General features: G+C 34.1%; 1 protein-coding gene across 4 annotated transcripts in view; it reads left to right on the top strand.

Moving 5' to 3' along the window:
* The window catches only part of CDH7 (cadherin 7), a 140,086-nt gene that overhangs the window by 3,776 nt on the left and 118,940 nt on the right, over nucleotides 1-17,370 (top strand). For all 4 annotated transcript variants that reach the window (NM_033646.4, NM_001362438.2, NM_004361.5 and 1 more), the window contains exon 2: nucleotides 8,620-9,025. In NM_033646.4, coding sequence (NP_387450.1) covers nucleotides 8,816-9,025 — 210 coding nt within the window. In that variant the 5' untranslated portion in view covers nucleotides 8,620-8,815. The remainder of the gene's footprint in view (nucleotides 1-8,619; nucleotides 9,026-17,370) is intronic.

Consider the following 17,370-nt stretch of genomic DNA (forward strand, 5'->3'; position numbering starts at 1 on the left):
CTAAGATTTCTTGTAAGAATAAATTATAAAAAACTCTCTGAATATAATTTTACCATTTTATTACATAAATAACTCAGAAAGATTGTGCCTTGTTACTTTGTTTACTTTTTAATTTACGAATGTTTCTTCTAGTTAATTATAAACTCTTGTTTCCCCTTTTAAAAAATTCATTTCACCCATGGCAGAAGTTGTGCTTAGTTGAAATTGAGTCTGTAATCCACTTTGAGAAGTTTTCTTTCTGTGTTTGATAACCAGATGCACACTACAGGCTGTGTGATTCATTTCCAGGGCCCCTGCCTGCATATTTAGGCCAGTTAACAGTAGGAGGTTGTGGTCTGTGGTTGTAATGTTATCTGGCCCAGGGAGCTAATGGATTTGATCGCAGTTTCTTTACGTGAGAAGTCACATATCACAGAGAGTCCCTAGCCTCACTAATTAAAATGTAAAAAATTATACCTTTTAAGTACAAAAGAGAGAGCTCTTTCATCAGAATTAAAATTATCGAATGTGATGTTAAACTTTAAATGGTATACAGATGAAACAAATTAATGTTAGTATATTACTATACTAGAAACTGAAGATAGCAACATTAAGTTTAGGATGATTATAATGCGAATATCAGCAGCAAGCAGTCATCTCAAAATATAGGACTTATGTCACCAACCAAAAGGGTACAATAGGAATGATACTTATTTTGCCAAACAAAATGGCCCCATATATAGAGTTTATATCCTAATATACTGTCCTGAGTTGGTACCCTATTTCTACAATGTTCACTGGGCTGTTGTTTAAATTTCAGTGGAAATAGTTAGCTACCTTGTGTCATAGTGTAGTAGGAAATTATTTTTGGATTCCAGAGTTGTTTAGAAGGGAAAAAGCAATTTTAAATTTGGATAGAGCTCACTCTTCATTTTTTTGTAAGATAGAAACATACAACCCTAGACAATAGGTTCCTTCACCCTTTCTTCTTAGTCTGCATTTTCTGCCCTTCTGAATGATAATGATGGTTACCATTACCTACTTAGAAAATTAAAACTTATGGTCGTATAAAAATTTAAGTACAGCCAAATCTACTTTGTTTCACTTTTAGGAAAGATGATAAGTTCCAAAGATCACACATTGCAAAAGCACTTATTACCAGAATGAGCAATTTTTAACAAATACTTTAAAATACTCATTACATACAGTTATGCAATGGATATTGGATCAGTACCTAGCTGTGTGACCTTGGGCATTTCACTGGGAATCTGTAGATTTCCATTTTGTTCAAAGTAAAGCAAGGGCTACCTTGGTTTTTCTAACATCTATTGCAGCTCAAACATGTCATCAATCTGTGGTTCCACCACTTTGGGAATCTTCAAACTTAAGGAGCAGCAGAATTTGAAGATTTTAAAATGTTTTTCCTCTAACATGAACCCTAATGAAAACCAAACTATTACATTTTTCAGTATTGAAATGGCATCCTCTTTATTTATCTCTTAGACATTGTCCTGAATAGTGTGGCTGGTAATGTTGTGGTTCGAAATGAAGTGTGGCTTCAGCTCTGAAAACATTCTGTCCAGGACTGTTTTCTCTCTAGTGTTGTATTATGGCATCTGCTCAGTCATGAATAGGAGGGGATTAGAATATATTTTCCCCCTTTGGCATTCCCAAAAATGTATTAAGGGATTCTACAATAAAAATAGGCAAAAGCAACAATGAATAAGTACTATCCTTTACACAAAGCAGACTACTCTAACTCTGTGGACTGGGATAAATCACAGGGAGGACCTCAGTGGTAACAGGTGACAGTGGCAGCTGTACTGGGGACACAAGAGCAAATGAAAGTCTTCAGAGAAGACAGTGGATGAATCAGCAGGCAGTCTCTTCATGGAATTTAAATAAAACCATTAAATATCCAAGGAATTCCTAAAAAGAAACAGACTTCTCCTAGACTATACAAAACAAACAAAAAAACAAAAACAAAAACAAAAAACAAAACAAAACAAAAACTAGTAAATAGAAGGTTCATCTTAAAACAATGGTAATATGTTTCATAGTTCCCTTGCTGTGGAATGGTGTCATTTCCACTTTTAAACATGTACATCTTTCACCCTACTTAAAGATTCATTAAAAACATGCTGCTGCCTAAATGTAGTTCAACCTTAAAGCAATCTTGGAAATGACAGTTTCCCCCCAATAGCTCAACAATATTTTTTCTATTTTGGTGCTATTATTCCAACTGTGATGTCTTGTACTATTATGTTTCATAGGTCAGCCAACAAAATGTCTCAGGGAATATCAGTTAGATTCTGGAGGTGTTTGTCAGACAACCATTATGGATTTTTCTGATTCTCTATTAAGTACACTGACAGTCCTCAAATGTCATTCCTACACTTGTTTTTCTAGAAAATGCAAATAATTGAATTTAGTCTTGGACTATCATTCTCCATCTAGTCATAAACTATACCAGTTTTTAAAAGAGAGGCATAACTTCTTTAAATCAGCATTACCAATTGATAATAAGCTGTGTGTTAGTGTGTTATATATTAAGTCTATTTCAAAACAGTTTCAGAAGACCTGCATCTGAGGCAGACTCCAGACAGCAGAGAGCATGAGCAGCTGCTCCTTGCCTAGAATTTAGAGAAAGTTTGGTGGAATGTGGTCTTTAATTGTGATAAGCCATTGCTTATTTATATTGGACTGCAACAAACACATTCCAGTTCAACATTAAGTGCCACAAAACCAAAAATAGTCCTATATTTCCTTTTAGTATAGCTGATAGTTATATATCATAGCACATATTATTTCTAGAAAGCATACAGCACTGTGTACTTTTTAAAAAAGCAGTCTAGAACATATGAATTAATTGGCAGTTAGCCATGTTTTAAAAACTACTCTTGTGGTGATATGTTAGTGTGCAGTGGCTGAATATGATGTATACTTGTTATGTTTTTAGCATGTTGACTTTGAATGGAACAGGTTTTGGAAGACTCGCAATTTTGCTGATTAGTAATTGATATGCTAATGCATAACAGTTTTTTTTTTTTTTGCATGAAAGGACCTTTAGTCATTGTTTGTAAGTTTGAAAACACCATTTGATTAAGAGCACGATAGTCACTTGATCTGTTAAAAGTGGTTTCCTAGAGATGTCAAGTGGAGGAGAAATTCCAAGAAAACGTTATAGTAATGAATTTGTTTTGGTAAAATAACATTAGCTGTTAAAGTTAAGTGGATAATAAACAGTCTACTTGAAACTAATACACTGCCACTTAGTTTAACAAAAATAATTGGAACAAAATGGTAGCATGATCAAGTGATTTCATATCAAATGACGTTGATTTAGTAAATACTGCTTAAGGGATTTTTACCTCTTGTTTTTTCTTTTTGCTTCAGTCCGTTCAAAATATATTTTTCAGTGTTTTATTTTATATTCTGATGATTAAGATCTGTTATGCTTATCACAGTACTACTTGTGATTTTCATGTATTTCAGTTTGTAAAACATGGAAAAATATTATAAATTGTTTTTCAAAATACAAGTTTTAGCCTTAAAATATCAAACAAAAACATTTTAAATCTTCCTCAATTTTTTTTCCGTTTCAGATTAATCATTTATCCAGTAACCATCACTACTACTCCCTGAGACATCTGTGATTTACCTCTGTGCCCTTCTCTCCTCAGATATAACCTGTTCTTGTTTTTCTCTTCAGAAATGTTCCAGTGTCCAAAAGTTTGTAAAGATCTGTAGACATTCCTTCAACTGTATATCCATATATATATATATTTTTTTTTTCTGCACTTTTTAAAGAACTAGTAATAGTGAAGAGGTCAGCTCTCCAAACCACATGCATGGATGCAGAGTACTCATTTTTTTCTGACATGAATCTTGTTTTTAACTCCTGTATATGAAACTCAGATAGGAAAGGAGGTGGAAGATAGAAGATAAACAACATAGACTTCTAAAGAGGGATGCAGTGTTTTTGCTTTAGGCACAGATTTGTGAGGCAATATTTAATCCATTGTGAAAAGTCAACAATTTGTTACTGACTCTGTACTCAAGTTCATTTAAATGTAATAAAAGTTATTGTGGTATCTTTCTACATGTTGATATTTGTAAGAAGATAAAAAGCCTTATAAAGAGGTTATACAGTGTGTGAGAAAAATCTCAAGTTTAAGTTTGGATTACTTCTGGTTGACAACCACAAAGAACTACAGGCTTTTTAAAATAATGCTTCAGAGCCCTTATTTCTTTCATGATACCCAGCTCAGGACAGAATGAAACCAGTTGAACTGCTATACTCGCCTTTCTCTTGAAAATGAGATTTGATTGAAAAAGAAGGCAAACATTTGTGAAAGACTGATAAGGAAAGGTGGCACCTGACCTGAGGCCATGCGACTCTTCCCCTGCTATAGAGGGCATATGTTCCTGGGAGAGTTGGTTACTGCCAAAAATACTGGGGAACACGTGAAACATCCTCACTTCAGATCACAATGGTTCACACACTGTTTTCTGATTTTCCAAGTGCATTCCACAAAGAGTATGACAGAGACACTTATCTCAAAAAAGAAAATTTCGTCCTCTGATAATATACACAATGCCAGTTAAATATCCTTGTGCACTCTGATAGAACTTGGATCAAGGTAAAGACAATTTAGCTCAAGAGGTTGGCAAATACTTCAAATACTGCAGAGAAATATAATGGAATTTTCTTGAAAGTGATTGTGACTTATAAACATGGTTGACTTACCAAGGAATTTGTATCTTGACTTGTTATACGGTTAACTTTTCATATCAAAAAATGAGGTTGATCATAATGAAAATGAGCATTATGTAAATGGTTTCCGAATGTCAATTATGTGCCTACTTCAGTCGTAGATACTACAGATACGATAGGGTAGATCTCCTTCTTCATCAAGGTTTATGTTTATACTAGCTGCTTTTAAAAACCCTTGATTAAAATGAGTTGCTCAATTATCAAGTATCTTCCCTTCACAGACATTATTTCAATGACTTTAATGTAACCCATGCCATGTTCTGTAACTCCCTTCTTTGATATGTTCTAGCTAATTTGATAAATCTCCAGTCTTGTTGAATGGAAGAGAAATAATCTTCAAGAGCAAGAAGAGTACATTAAACAGCTCTTCTTAAAGTGAATGTTGCATTTTATAAGCAAGTCAAATGTTTATTTTACATTCCTATAACTTCCTTAAATTTCTCTGCCCATTATCTTTTTTTTTTTTTTCTTTTTTCTTTTGGAGACAGAATCTCGCTGTCACCCAGGCTAGAGTGCAGTGGTGCCGTCTCGGCTCCCTGAAACCTCCACCTCCCGAGTTTAAGCGATTCTCCTGCCTCAGCCCCCCAAGTAGCTGGGATTATAGGTGTGTGGCACCATGCCCGGCTAATTTTTTTTTTTTTTTAATTTTTAGTAGAGACAGGGTTTCACCATGTTAGCCAGGATGGTCTCGATCTCCTGACCTTGTGATTTTCCTGACTTGGCCTCCCGAAGTGCTGGGATTACAGGCATGAGCCACCACACCCGGCCCCCATTATCTTTTATTATTAACAATGTGTATTTTATCACAGCTTTAAAAGAGCTAACAAAATCAATTTTATATAATTGTCAAAAAGTAGAAAAGTAAGACCTGAAAAAAGAAATAGACTTTATAAGATAATTGAGTTCAGCTCCTTCATTTTGCAACTGTGGAAAATAAAATCCCGGAGCAATCCAAGGTCGTACAAAGTGGTGGAGCTTGTAGGACAATGAGTCCTGTGCTCTTATCCCTAGTCCAGACTGTGTGCTTCGTTCCTCATCAGTAAACACCTAGTGAACTAAAATAAATTTCTCCAGCTCTGATATTTGTGTTTGATTTCTAAAAAATTACAGAAGGCATGCCTTTAAGAAATAAAGAATTATACATATATATATAGTACTTTGGCGCCTTTGTATTCATCTTGATTTTTTGATTTATGACCATATGGTTCTCTGGAACCAACTACAACTATCAAAATGCTTTCACTTGGTGTAAGAGTTGTCTAAAACATTTGAATATAGATAACATTCCAATGAAAACTAACATCAACCCATAAACTAATTTTAACATAGCCAGTTTCAAACTAAAAAATATGATAATAATCCCAAGAACTTTTTAAAAATACATTTTTGATTGCCAGGCACTATTTTTATCATCTCATGATTTGCTCATTTAATCCTATGAAGTAGATGCCATTATTATCATCTTTGTTTTATAGATGAGAGACTTAAGGTTTTATCTCTGGAACGTCTTAGAATTTAACTTATTCAAGATTACGTAGTTAAGACATGACTGACCCAGAATTTGAATATTTATCCGATGCAGACACCAACAGTCTTTACTGGTAACTAACTCCTCAAGTATTGAATTCCAAAAGCTCATTTGCTATTTAGGTTTTTAGAAGTTGGATGTATTGTCACTCTCTGAAACAATGTTACCACATCCCCTCAATCCATAAAGTAGCCTAAATGGTATAATTTTGCTCTATTGCATCTAAAAACTATATTATCAGGAGCCAAAGTGTTTATGTCATTGTCTTTAAGAGAGAATTCATTCTCTTGAGAAGGGAGAGTGGTGAAACTGGAACTGTTCTATGGCCACAGACCTCACATGCTTGTCTCAGCCACCTGACCAGATCTCTAAACCATCCCTCCCCATCCCCAGGAGACTGGTTTACCACTATATGAAGGAAGAAGCTACATGACTTTGCCCCTTCCCATACTGTCAGCCATTCCTACTGAAGACCACTCTTCACGATTCTCATCTCATCACTGGACTAATCCCTACACTAGTGCACCATGTCCAGATCAAGTTTAAGCACGTCCCTGCCTTTTTAAACTGTAGGAAGCACGCCTTTCAGGTGGGTTAGTCAGACCTACCTACAATAAACTTCCAACTTAATTAAGGGGCCTACATTGGAACATCAAGGCATGATCCCAAGTTACTTGTTCTTTATAAGTCAAAAGCTAGAACAACTGGCCCTCTAGGGTGGTTTCTAAATGGAATAAATTTATTTTTGATCCTTGGATAGGGTATCTGGATTTGGGTAGATTGTGTTCTCTGCACAGGGTGCAGTTAAGAGTTACCATTCTGGTGGCTCTCAGGTACAGTAATTAGATGAACATTGGCTTTTCCTTAAATGCCCTCTGGAATATCAAAACTTTATAGATATATATTTTTAAATGTATGCATTCATTTTAACAGTTCATTGCCCAAAGTCATTGGAACCTGTTTTTTCTAGTCATGTGAACGATTTAAAAATTTGATAAATTTGTATGTATGTATATATTTGTTTCACATTTCTTTTACTACATATAGTATTTTCTTAAGAAATTTGACTATCAAAAATATTTTTTTATTGTATAACAGACACTCTTCTTACAGAAGGGACAGGTAGAAAGACTGAAAAGCTTATGAGGATAGTGCATTTTCTGCCTTAATAGGAGACATCTTTTGGCTTTATGTTCTCAACACTATATTTTTCTCCTCTTCCTCAAAAAAAAAAAAAAAACAGAAATAGGCAAATGATACTTCTTTGCCTTAATTGTTCTATTGTTGATTTATTTATAGGAAGTAAAATGAATTCATAAACCAAAGTGCAACATGGTGATTTAAGTGAGGACTTTGTCATAAATTCTCATTTCTTTGTGTTTTAGGGGTATGTTCGAAAGTTTGTTTTGTAACTGATTTTATATCTCTTGCATAATCAGAATTCTGTAACTGAAATAAATAGACATTAGAATAAAAGGGCTTTTCCATGCTTCTGCTAAAGCACCTCCTGGATGCATGCCAGCAATGAATGGGCCTCACAAATACAGCTGTTTTCTCACTCTTCTGTTGATCAACATAATTCAATTCTATAAATGTTTATGTAGGGAGGCCCTACTATGCACAACTCATGCTGCAAGATGCTCAATAAATAATTGTAAAATAGCAAATAACCGCAATGCAATAGCATAACCTAACATGCTACACAGCATACATGACAATAAGTTCAAAGAGTGGAAAATGGAAACTACTGAGCTTTTCAGCTGACCACAATCAAATCAGAACACATCAAAACAGCTGGTGTTCTGTGACTCAGAATCAATCAACCAGTTTTGCATCACCTCATACTTCTTTATTTCTCTTTACAGTTTCACAGAAGAGATTTAAACCAGCATGTGTCCTTCCCATTTGGTTAAATTTCTGCTTTGAGTTGCTTTGCTTTCACATTCTAATACCAACGAATGAAAATCACTGTAATATAAAAGAAAAAAAATAAAGGCTAACATTAAAATGATTTTTAAAATGATGCCGCTACATTTGTGTAAAATAAACCATATGCTCAAATAAAATGCCCTAGAAGAAAAGTGATATTTTAAAGTAGTGTTATGAAATGAAGATAGTTCTGCATCAGCTGTATTTATGTAATTCACAAATATATCAATGTATATTATAATTTTCTAAGTATATAATTAATATTTTAATTACACAAATTATGATATTTGTATAATCTTGGAAATTTGTATAGTCTTAAGAAAATCAATAGTAGATTAGTCAATGAATGCTAAATATTATTATGTGTTTTGGTTCCTGACACCAGCTCTTCTCTTTGTTCTGATAGGTACTTACTACACCATTCTTTGGCGAAGGCTATTCAGCAGTGGTGACCTCTTCCAATCCAACACTCTACAGATTATTATCTCTGGACTCCCAGCTGACACCCTGCCGGAGGCAAGAGCTACTAAGCCAACTGGAACTGTGCCTTTTCTCTTGTCAAGGTTTTTTTCTTACACAGGAAAAAGAAAGAAAAAAAAAAGATGAAGTTGGGCAAAGTGGAGTTCTGCCATTTTCTGCAGCTAATAGCTCTTTTCCTGTGTTTTTCTGGGATGAGTCAAGCAGAACTCTCAAGGTCCAGATCAAAGCCCTATTTCCAATCAGGGAGGTCCCGGACCAAGCGCAGCTGGGTGTGGAATCAGTTCTTTGTGCTGGAGGAATACATGGGTTCAGACCCCCTCTATGTAGGAAAGGTAGGGTATTGTGACCTTTCAAAGTTGTAAATGATTATTGTCCATGTCTATGGTTTGATGAAAAACTGCTATATATATATAAAATTTATTTTTTGCTATGGGGATGGTAAACACAAGACATCATTTCTATGAAAGAGTTTATGAAGGTTTTTGGCGATAGCCACTGCGAAGTTGCAATCAAGGTATAATATTCATTACAGTGAAACTGTATATTAGGGAATGATGCTTCATTCCTAGAAACAGATGAGGATTCTACAGAGGCCTAGTTTACTCTGGTTGTAACACATTGATAAACTGTCGTTACCAAAGTGGAACAAGACTATTCATAAAAAATGAAGAGTAGTGGGTTCTTACAGCCAGTTGGTTTCAGTTGCTGCTTTTGGGGTATTATTAAAATGATGTCCAGACTAACATTAATACTTAGGTGTCCTTCCCTGATACTTGCAGTGGAAAAACTGCAAAATGAAACTATTGACCCTAATGTTTCTAAATTATGAACAATTTAAACCCACTTTTCTTAGCAGTCTTGTTTTGATAGGGGGGTGTGTGTGTGTGTGTGTGTGTGTGTGTGTGTGTGTGTTAGGTTGCTTTAAACATTTTCCTTTGGATTAAAAATGATCATGGACAGAAGTCAGTTAGAAATGATATTAGACAAGTGATGGGCAGTTCATGGTGCATTTATTGGGTGACCAAGTGTTAGCTGGATGGACATTTTGTTTTTCACAGTTTCTTCTGTCTTAATATTTGAGAAGGAGATTTTCACTGGAGAGCTTCCTGAACCAAAAGGTGCTTCTAGAAAGCATAGCCTTCTCTCTGCCATTTGGCATATCATGTTCTCGGTTCCTAGTCTACTTCCGGTTCAATTTTTTTAATATTTGTAAAGGCCTACTGAATTTCTCAATTTGGTACTGAGTCCTGGTGAAGGTTTTCTAAATAGGGTATATTAGCACAAAATCTGTGCCTCTGTATTTTTACACTTCACTCTGTCAGTTTTATATTTGTCTTCCTGGTAAAATGAAGCATAGCTACCTACTGAATTTATCTATAAATCAGTTTTTCAACTTTAAAAGATAGAGGAATAATCCTGGTGATTTACTGCATGGGTCGTTTTTTCGTTTGATCACACCTTAAGTAAGGGCCAAAATTATGTTTATTGATGAGCATCTACATCAATCAAGGTAATTTGTATTATATTTATTATTTTATTTATGTCTCTATATTTTATAAATACTGACTTTTACTACCTTGTAAACAAAAGGACATTAATAAGTTAAAGGTTTCTAGGGATGTGAATTAGGATTTTTCTTTTTTTGGTCCAGTTACAGCATTTTCCTACCTAAGCTTATGTAAATACAGAGGTGTTTTGTGTACTAATATATTTTTATAGCCATTCTACCAGTAACACCGTCATATTTACTGTACATATATATGCTAAATATCTGTCTCACTCTCTTTTTACTTGTTTTCTTATAAAGAAATTGAGAGGAGTAACCGTAATGATTAGGATTTGATTAGGAAACTAGCTCTTAATTTCATTCATTTTTAATGGACATTTAACAAAGTCATCCAATTTTCTTAAATGGACAGAGCTATAATATTCAAGTAATGTATAAAAGGAAGTAATAGTTATTAAGCAAAATCATATTTTGTGACAATGTAAAATTTTCTAAAAGCAGCAAAACTGTTTCCAAAGTAAATGCCATTTAATTTGGTATTAAATAAAGTTGCTTGGGTGAAGTTGACATTTTAAAAATCTATATAGTTTTAAAATTTAAATGGCCTTCTTTTGAATTTCACAAATTTCCCATAATAATTCAGAATGCTTATTCCATAAAACTCCTATAAGTCAATTTAAAATTATGAAGAGGTGTGTCCCTATGTTACTTAAATTCCATATGCAAACAAAGTTGTTGGGCAAAGGTGTTATTTTTCTAAGAGAAATTGTGTAGTTTCTTGATTAGGTAACAAGAAATATTATGTACCTCTCTTCCAACTAATCAAAGAAGGTCACTTATATTTACATGACAGAAGTTAGTTCGTGTTTATCTTTTGCATGCTGTACATTGGGAGTTCAATATCGCCTTTCATAGTAAATTGTCCAGGATGGAAATGGATTTAATTTTTTAAAAAATTGACTAAAATACAGAAAAAGGGCTGTAACATAATTTGAGATGGAAGGAGAATTTGTACACAAGAGAGACAAATGCAAGGCCTTACAGGAACAATTTTCATATATCCTTGGAAAAAAATGGCAGAGAACTTGATTACTATAGATTTTATATTTGAGATGATGAAATGATTCTTTTTATTAATAATTTGGTGGTCTGAATAAGCAGAGATATAACAATAACTTTGACTTAAGTACGTTTTTTATTACTTGGGTAAATAGACACATTTTCCTTTCCTTTTTTCTTTTTTTTTTTTAGTTTTGGGAGGTGATGTCTGTGCCCAGAAATGTTTGTAGGACAGAAAGAAATAAAAATTATAGAAGAAGATGTGAAGAAATGGCTGGGCAGATAATCATAGAAAGAAAAAAAGAACCTAATTAATCAGTGCTTTTCACAGATGTGTATTCAACCTAGGCCACTTAGATGGTCACATTCTTAGTCATCCTAACACAATCTAGCTATTTGGGTAATTTGGAAAATATAAGTGATGACTTTGATACATTTTGTACCTTAACTTGATCACATAATGGATAACTACCGTATGTGTCAAATTGACATCATTTTTATTTTCTTGCTCTACCACTTTCTACTAGTTGTATAACTTGGGGGCAAATTGCCTAATATCATTAAGTTTTAGTTTTCTAATCTATAAAATAGAAAAATGGTATCTACAATTCAATTCTGTTACTCAATAAATCCGATTAGTCTTTATGACCTACATTCAATTACTCTGGACATTATTATATTTTATATTTCATTACATATTAATTATAAATTAACTTAGTTATGGATCATCTATTTTGTTACATGTGAAATGTTATCTGTGTGATTCCTCAGATGAAAGCCGGTATTATTTTATGTTCTAATAGTGTTTATATTTATTCCAGTTAATTATAGGAATGTCTATTTTGGGGGAGCTTAATAATGCAGCTTTTAGAAATTATTTATATACAATTAAACTATGGCAGAGATATAATTAGTGGGTAAAAAATTCACAGAAATTATATCTGTGAGTCTTTTAAGACTTTCAAATTTCGAGTCCATGTTAATGGCAGGTGACCAGCAAGATCAATTAAATGACTCTTCAGTCAATAAAATTTGATCATTAAGACATTGAAGATAATGAGGCTACAATATGGCTTTCAAGCATATTATTTTAGGTAGTTTACTGAGTTGCTTTTTACATATGATAACCAAAGACCAAAGTAGAACATTCTGTTGAAGGGGACCAGGAGTGCTTCTAGAACCCTTACTCAGGAACCACCCGGGCTCAGACTTCTGGGCTATGCTAGACTCCGATGGTGCAACCTTTATCATTAGCTTCCCATCATTTTCTTGTGAAATAAGTTGATAAATGTATAGACTTAAGGAAGGAGTCCTTGGATGTTACTCTGAGTTCTGTTTTAAAAAATAATAGTGCCCCTTTCCTTACATGTATGTTTTAATTACCATCATGCCTGTTTTCTTGTTTTTATATGGGGAGAAGGAAGGGGGGAGGATCCTTTCTTTTCTCCTTTTCACTTTATATCACCCCTCCCGTGGCTATTCACAGTACATAGGAGGTCCCAGTTTCCACCCATTTCATTGGATCGCACTGCATTTCTTCAGCCCAGTCTGTTAATCACCTTGGCATTACTCACTTAACGTCCTGTAACTGTCTGACGTAAAAAAAAAAAAAAAAAAAAAAAAAAAAAAAAAAAAAGTCTACAAAACCACTCAGCCTCTGTTCCAGGTATTAAGTATTTTTCATCTTTCCTAACCGTAATGGGATGCCAGCCGATCGCTGTGCCCCAGGCCATTACTTTCACTGAAATGTGTGCTTCGTGCCTCTTCCACAGTTGCTTCCCTAGCTGTTAACATCACTCTTTCTTTCTTTTTTTTTTTTTTGGCTACTCCTCTTTCTTCCTTACTCATTCAGGGAAAGTTTATACCTATTACCCCAGTAGAAATCAAATACACAGAAATGCAGTTTGCAGGATTGGCTTTGCTTTAAATTTAAGCTTACTTGGAAGCATTGGTGAGCATTTTCAATGCATTTAATTATACCTCAGCAGTATCTCTCACCAAGAAATTATCTACCTCCTGATATCTAAAGATACATTCAGTGTTCCAAAAAAGGAAGTTTCATATTGAAAATAGGTTGTGTTTATTTTTAAAAACTTGAGTTACAAATTAGATTCCTTAACTGGAAAATTTTATGTTAGATACAGAAAAGGTCAATAATGAATGCCAAGTATGAGCGACAAGAAAGAGCATAGTCATCATAGCAAAATCTACAGTTTATAGATTTTATTGAGAAAAGACAAACAGGAAAAGTGTCCTCTGAAAATGTAGATTGCCTAATGCCAGGTCAACTCTTAGAAGAAAACAAAGACAGTTTATTTTTTCTAGGAATGAGTAGAAACCCCATTTTCATAATAACTTTACAACTAGAGTCAATTTGTAAAGGCATTTGTTCTCTGTCAGTTTGCTGATAGATGTGTGGAATTCCTGGTGATTTCAAAAGGAATTTGGACACGGATCAGCTCTATCAGATGCAAATAAGTTCAGATTTTTAGAAATACTTCTTGGCAGTTATATTCAGCTCTTATAATACTGCAATAAGCAAATACATTGTTATTTTGTTTTTTTCTTACCATTTTGTAAATAACATGTTAGATTGTGCCACTAAAATGCAGAAACCCACCATTTATTCGGCTTAATATGGCTAATTAACTTAAAAAGTCACCTCAGTTCAGAAATGAAGGTTATAATTACCAAAGGCTTTAGCTATACAGCTAAAAGTTGGACAGAGTGGAAGACTCTCAGTTATATGCCTGATTATAGCCAAACTAGGTACTCTAGATTGGGCTCCACATTTCCTGATTGTCTGTGTATGTTGATCAAAATCATTTAAAAATTCTGCCTTTTTAACAATGTTTGTGTTTATGTGCAATCTACTTGCGTCCTATTTTGTGATGAAAACAGCAAACATTTTCAACTGCAGTCTATATGCGTTGTTGTTTTTTTTTTTTATTTTTTGGTTCTTGTTTTGAGATGGAGTCTTGCTTTCTTACCCAGACTGGCACGTAGTGACGCAATCTCAGCTCACTGCAGCCTCCGCCTCCCGGTTCAAGCAATTCTCCTGCCTCAGCCTCCCCAGTATCTGGGACTACAGGCATGTACCACCATACTTGGATGGTTTTTGTATTTTTAGTAGAGACGAGGGTTTCACCATGTAGGCCAGGCTGGTTTCGAACTCCTGACTTCACGTGATCTGCCCGCCTCGGCCTCCCAAAGTGTATATTAGCTGTGTTTTAACATTGTATTTATATTGAGGTTTTAGGTGCAAAGGACAAGATATAAACTGAAACGATGATTGAGTTTTTTTCTCTACAAAGTGCGCTGTAATTGTTTGGACAAGCTTTATGTGCATTGCTCATAGATACAGAGTCACAGGATCTGCAGCCCTCCGTGACTCACCAGGATAAACGACAGAATTAGATAAGCAGCAGGACAGTCACTGAGACTTTGCTGGATTGAGCATATGTAGGCAAGGACTATATTGGGAGAAATTGGGTCCTCATCGTTTTGTATGATTTATATTGATTATATGCCTTAGGCTGATTACCTGAAAGAAACACTAGTTTGTACAAACATGGTTAACATTGTATCCAAGAAAATCTCTTTTGTATGCTGCTAAACCTACCCTCTGTGTTTACTTTCTTCTTTTCTCTCTCCTTTTTTTTTTCAAATATTTATCGCATACTTATACTGTGATTGATAATGTGCTAGATAGAAGCATTAAAAAATAAACTCTTTCATAAAATTCACAGTCTGGTTGATAAGCCAAGCAGGTAATCCCATGGCAGTGGAAAGCAGTAAATTCCAAAACTAACCAACAGCTGTGGAGGTGGTTCCCACAGAGGAAGAACTCACAGATCCAAGAACAAACGCTTGCATGAGGACACCTGGTGCACCTCTGTGATTTTGTATCTTTTTAATACAATCTTCAAATCAAAGCAAAAGCAAATTATCTTCTTAGAAAACAGGGCAGAGTTTTCTAAAACTATACTGAGAGAAGCTTTATATAGTAGAAAGATCAGTAAGCAGAAACTCCAGGTTAAAGTAGCAATTTTCTTGTTATTTTAAACACAGCCCTGAAACAATAAATTTTGATTTTCTCATCTGTAAAATGTGATCAAATTGGTAAAGTTTTAAACTTTTTTATTTTGAACTAATTTCAAACTTATAAATAAGTTGCAAAGTGCTATTCTCTAATCCAGCTTTTGCAAATAGTAATATCTTACGTGACTACAGCAATTATTTAAGCTAGGAAATTAACATTGGTACAATACTATTTACTGATTAACAGCATATATTCAAAATTTGCCAGTTGTTCTAATAAAATATTAAATACTTGTTTCTGGCAGGAACCAGTTCAATATCACACCTTTCATCTGTCCTGTTTCCTTATATTTTCCAGTCTGGGATAGTTCCTTAGTCTTTCGTTGTCATTCTTGACCCATAATTGGGTAGAACATTTTATAATATGGGCCTGTCTCATGTTTCTTCTTAATGCATATGTTTCAGGGAATGTATTTTTGGCAAGTATAAGACAGAAGTGATGCTTTTCCCTTCTCACTGTATCACGTCAGAAGATAGAGGATGTTGACGTGACTCATTCATAATGATGTTGAATTTGATCCCTTGGTTAAGGTGGTGTCTGCCAGGTTCCTTCACGGAATGAACATTATCTGAAAGCTCTAAAATCTTGAAAGAGATATAAAATAACCTAAACTCTCATTACAGATGGGAATAAATACTACTGCTGGTTTGAGGGAGGTGCAAGGGTTGATTCAGTACAATCTGTTGTCCATGTTTAGAATCAGGAGTGTGAGCCAGATTTAAATCTATAAGACAGTTAGGTAATGTTCATAATTTTATGCAGCAATTGACTGTTTCTCAAAAATACATCAATTTAAGATGTCAAAGGGCAATTGATTTTGCTTATTATTTTTTTTCTGAACCATGCAATAGTATTCTTTATAGTCCAAAATTGCAAGAAAGTTTCACTAATATAGAGGTTAAAATAAGAGCTTTCTCCCCACATTGCCTACAAAATCTAAATAATTGTTTTGCATTGTGAGGTTGGGCCCCAAATACTTAGCCATCATAATTACAAATGAAACATTGTTTTGGAATAATAAACACTTAGAATCCTATAAGTTAAAGAACTAACACAAGACATTACAATCTGATGTATTACATGTTAATGTATTTACAGGGTTGAAATCTAAACAACTCATGGAATTACATTCAATGTTGAAATAAATTAGTAATGGCAGTTTCTTCTAATTATTCTTGTTTAAAACTTATATTCCTGTTGCCTAGTCAGTACTTATTAAATCTTTGGAAAGCCTTGTGAATTAGAAAGGTGATGTTCTTATGTTAGAGTTCAAGTAATATATATGTTTGGTAATAAAATAAGTAGAATAATGGAACAGCATTAGAATTATAATTGAGAAGAGCTAGAAGGCATATCAGAAGTCTACATTGAATAATTATCATTTTTTCAAATCTTAAAATTTTAGAAGAGTTAGAACTAAAATGAATACTACTTTGTCATAATACCAACCAATCATATTTTGAAGATAGATATAATTTCAGTATGTATTTGTCTGTTCTGGTTTCCATAACAAAATATCAGATTAGATAACTTAAACAATAGAAATTTCTTTCTCATCGTTCTGGCTGAGAAGTCCACAAAGTGCCAGCAAAGTCAGTTTCTGGTGAGTGCTCTTGGCTTGAGGACAGCACAGCCTTCTCCATGTCCTCACATGGCAGAAGAGAAAAATTTCTTACTCTTTTAATGAGGCTATCAGTATTATGGGATTCAGGTCCCAACCATATAATATCATTTAACCTTAGTTTACTTGCAAAAGACATACCTACAAATCAGTCACATTGGGAGTTAGGGTTTCAGTTTATGAATTCTGAAAGGGGGAGGGTCACGACTCAGTTCATAGCAAATACCTAAATTCATTATAATTCATAAGAAATGAACGAATAACAAGTAATTGTTGACAATAATAATGTAATCTATAGTTTAGTTTTAACAAGTAGAAGTTTACATAGCAATTTCAAAAATGTATTAGAGCCGTAAACAGTGGCTCACGCATGTAATCCCAGCATTTT

This window comes from Homo sapiens, chromosome 18, assembly GCF_000001405.40.
Source record: "Homo sapiens chromosome 18, GRCh38.p14 Primary Assembly".
Classification (NCBI taxonomy): domain Eukaryota; kingdom Metazoa; phylum Chordata; class Mammalia; order Primates; family Hominidae; genus Homo; species Homo sapiens.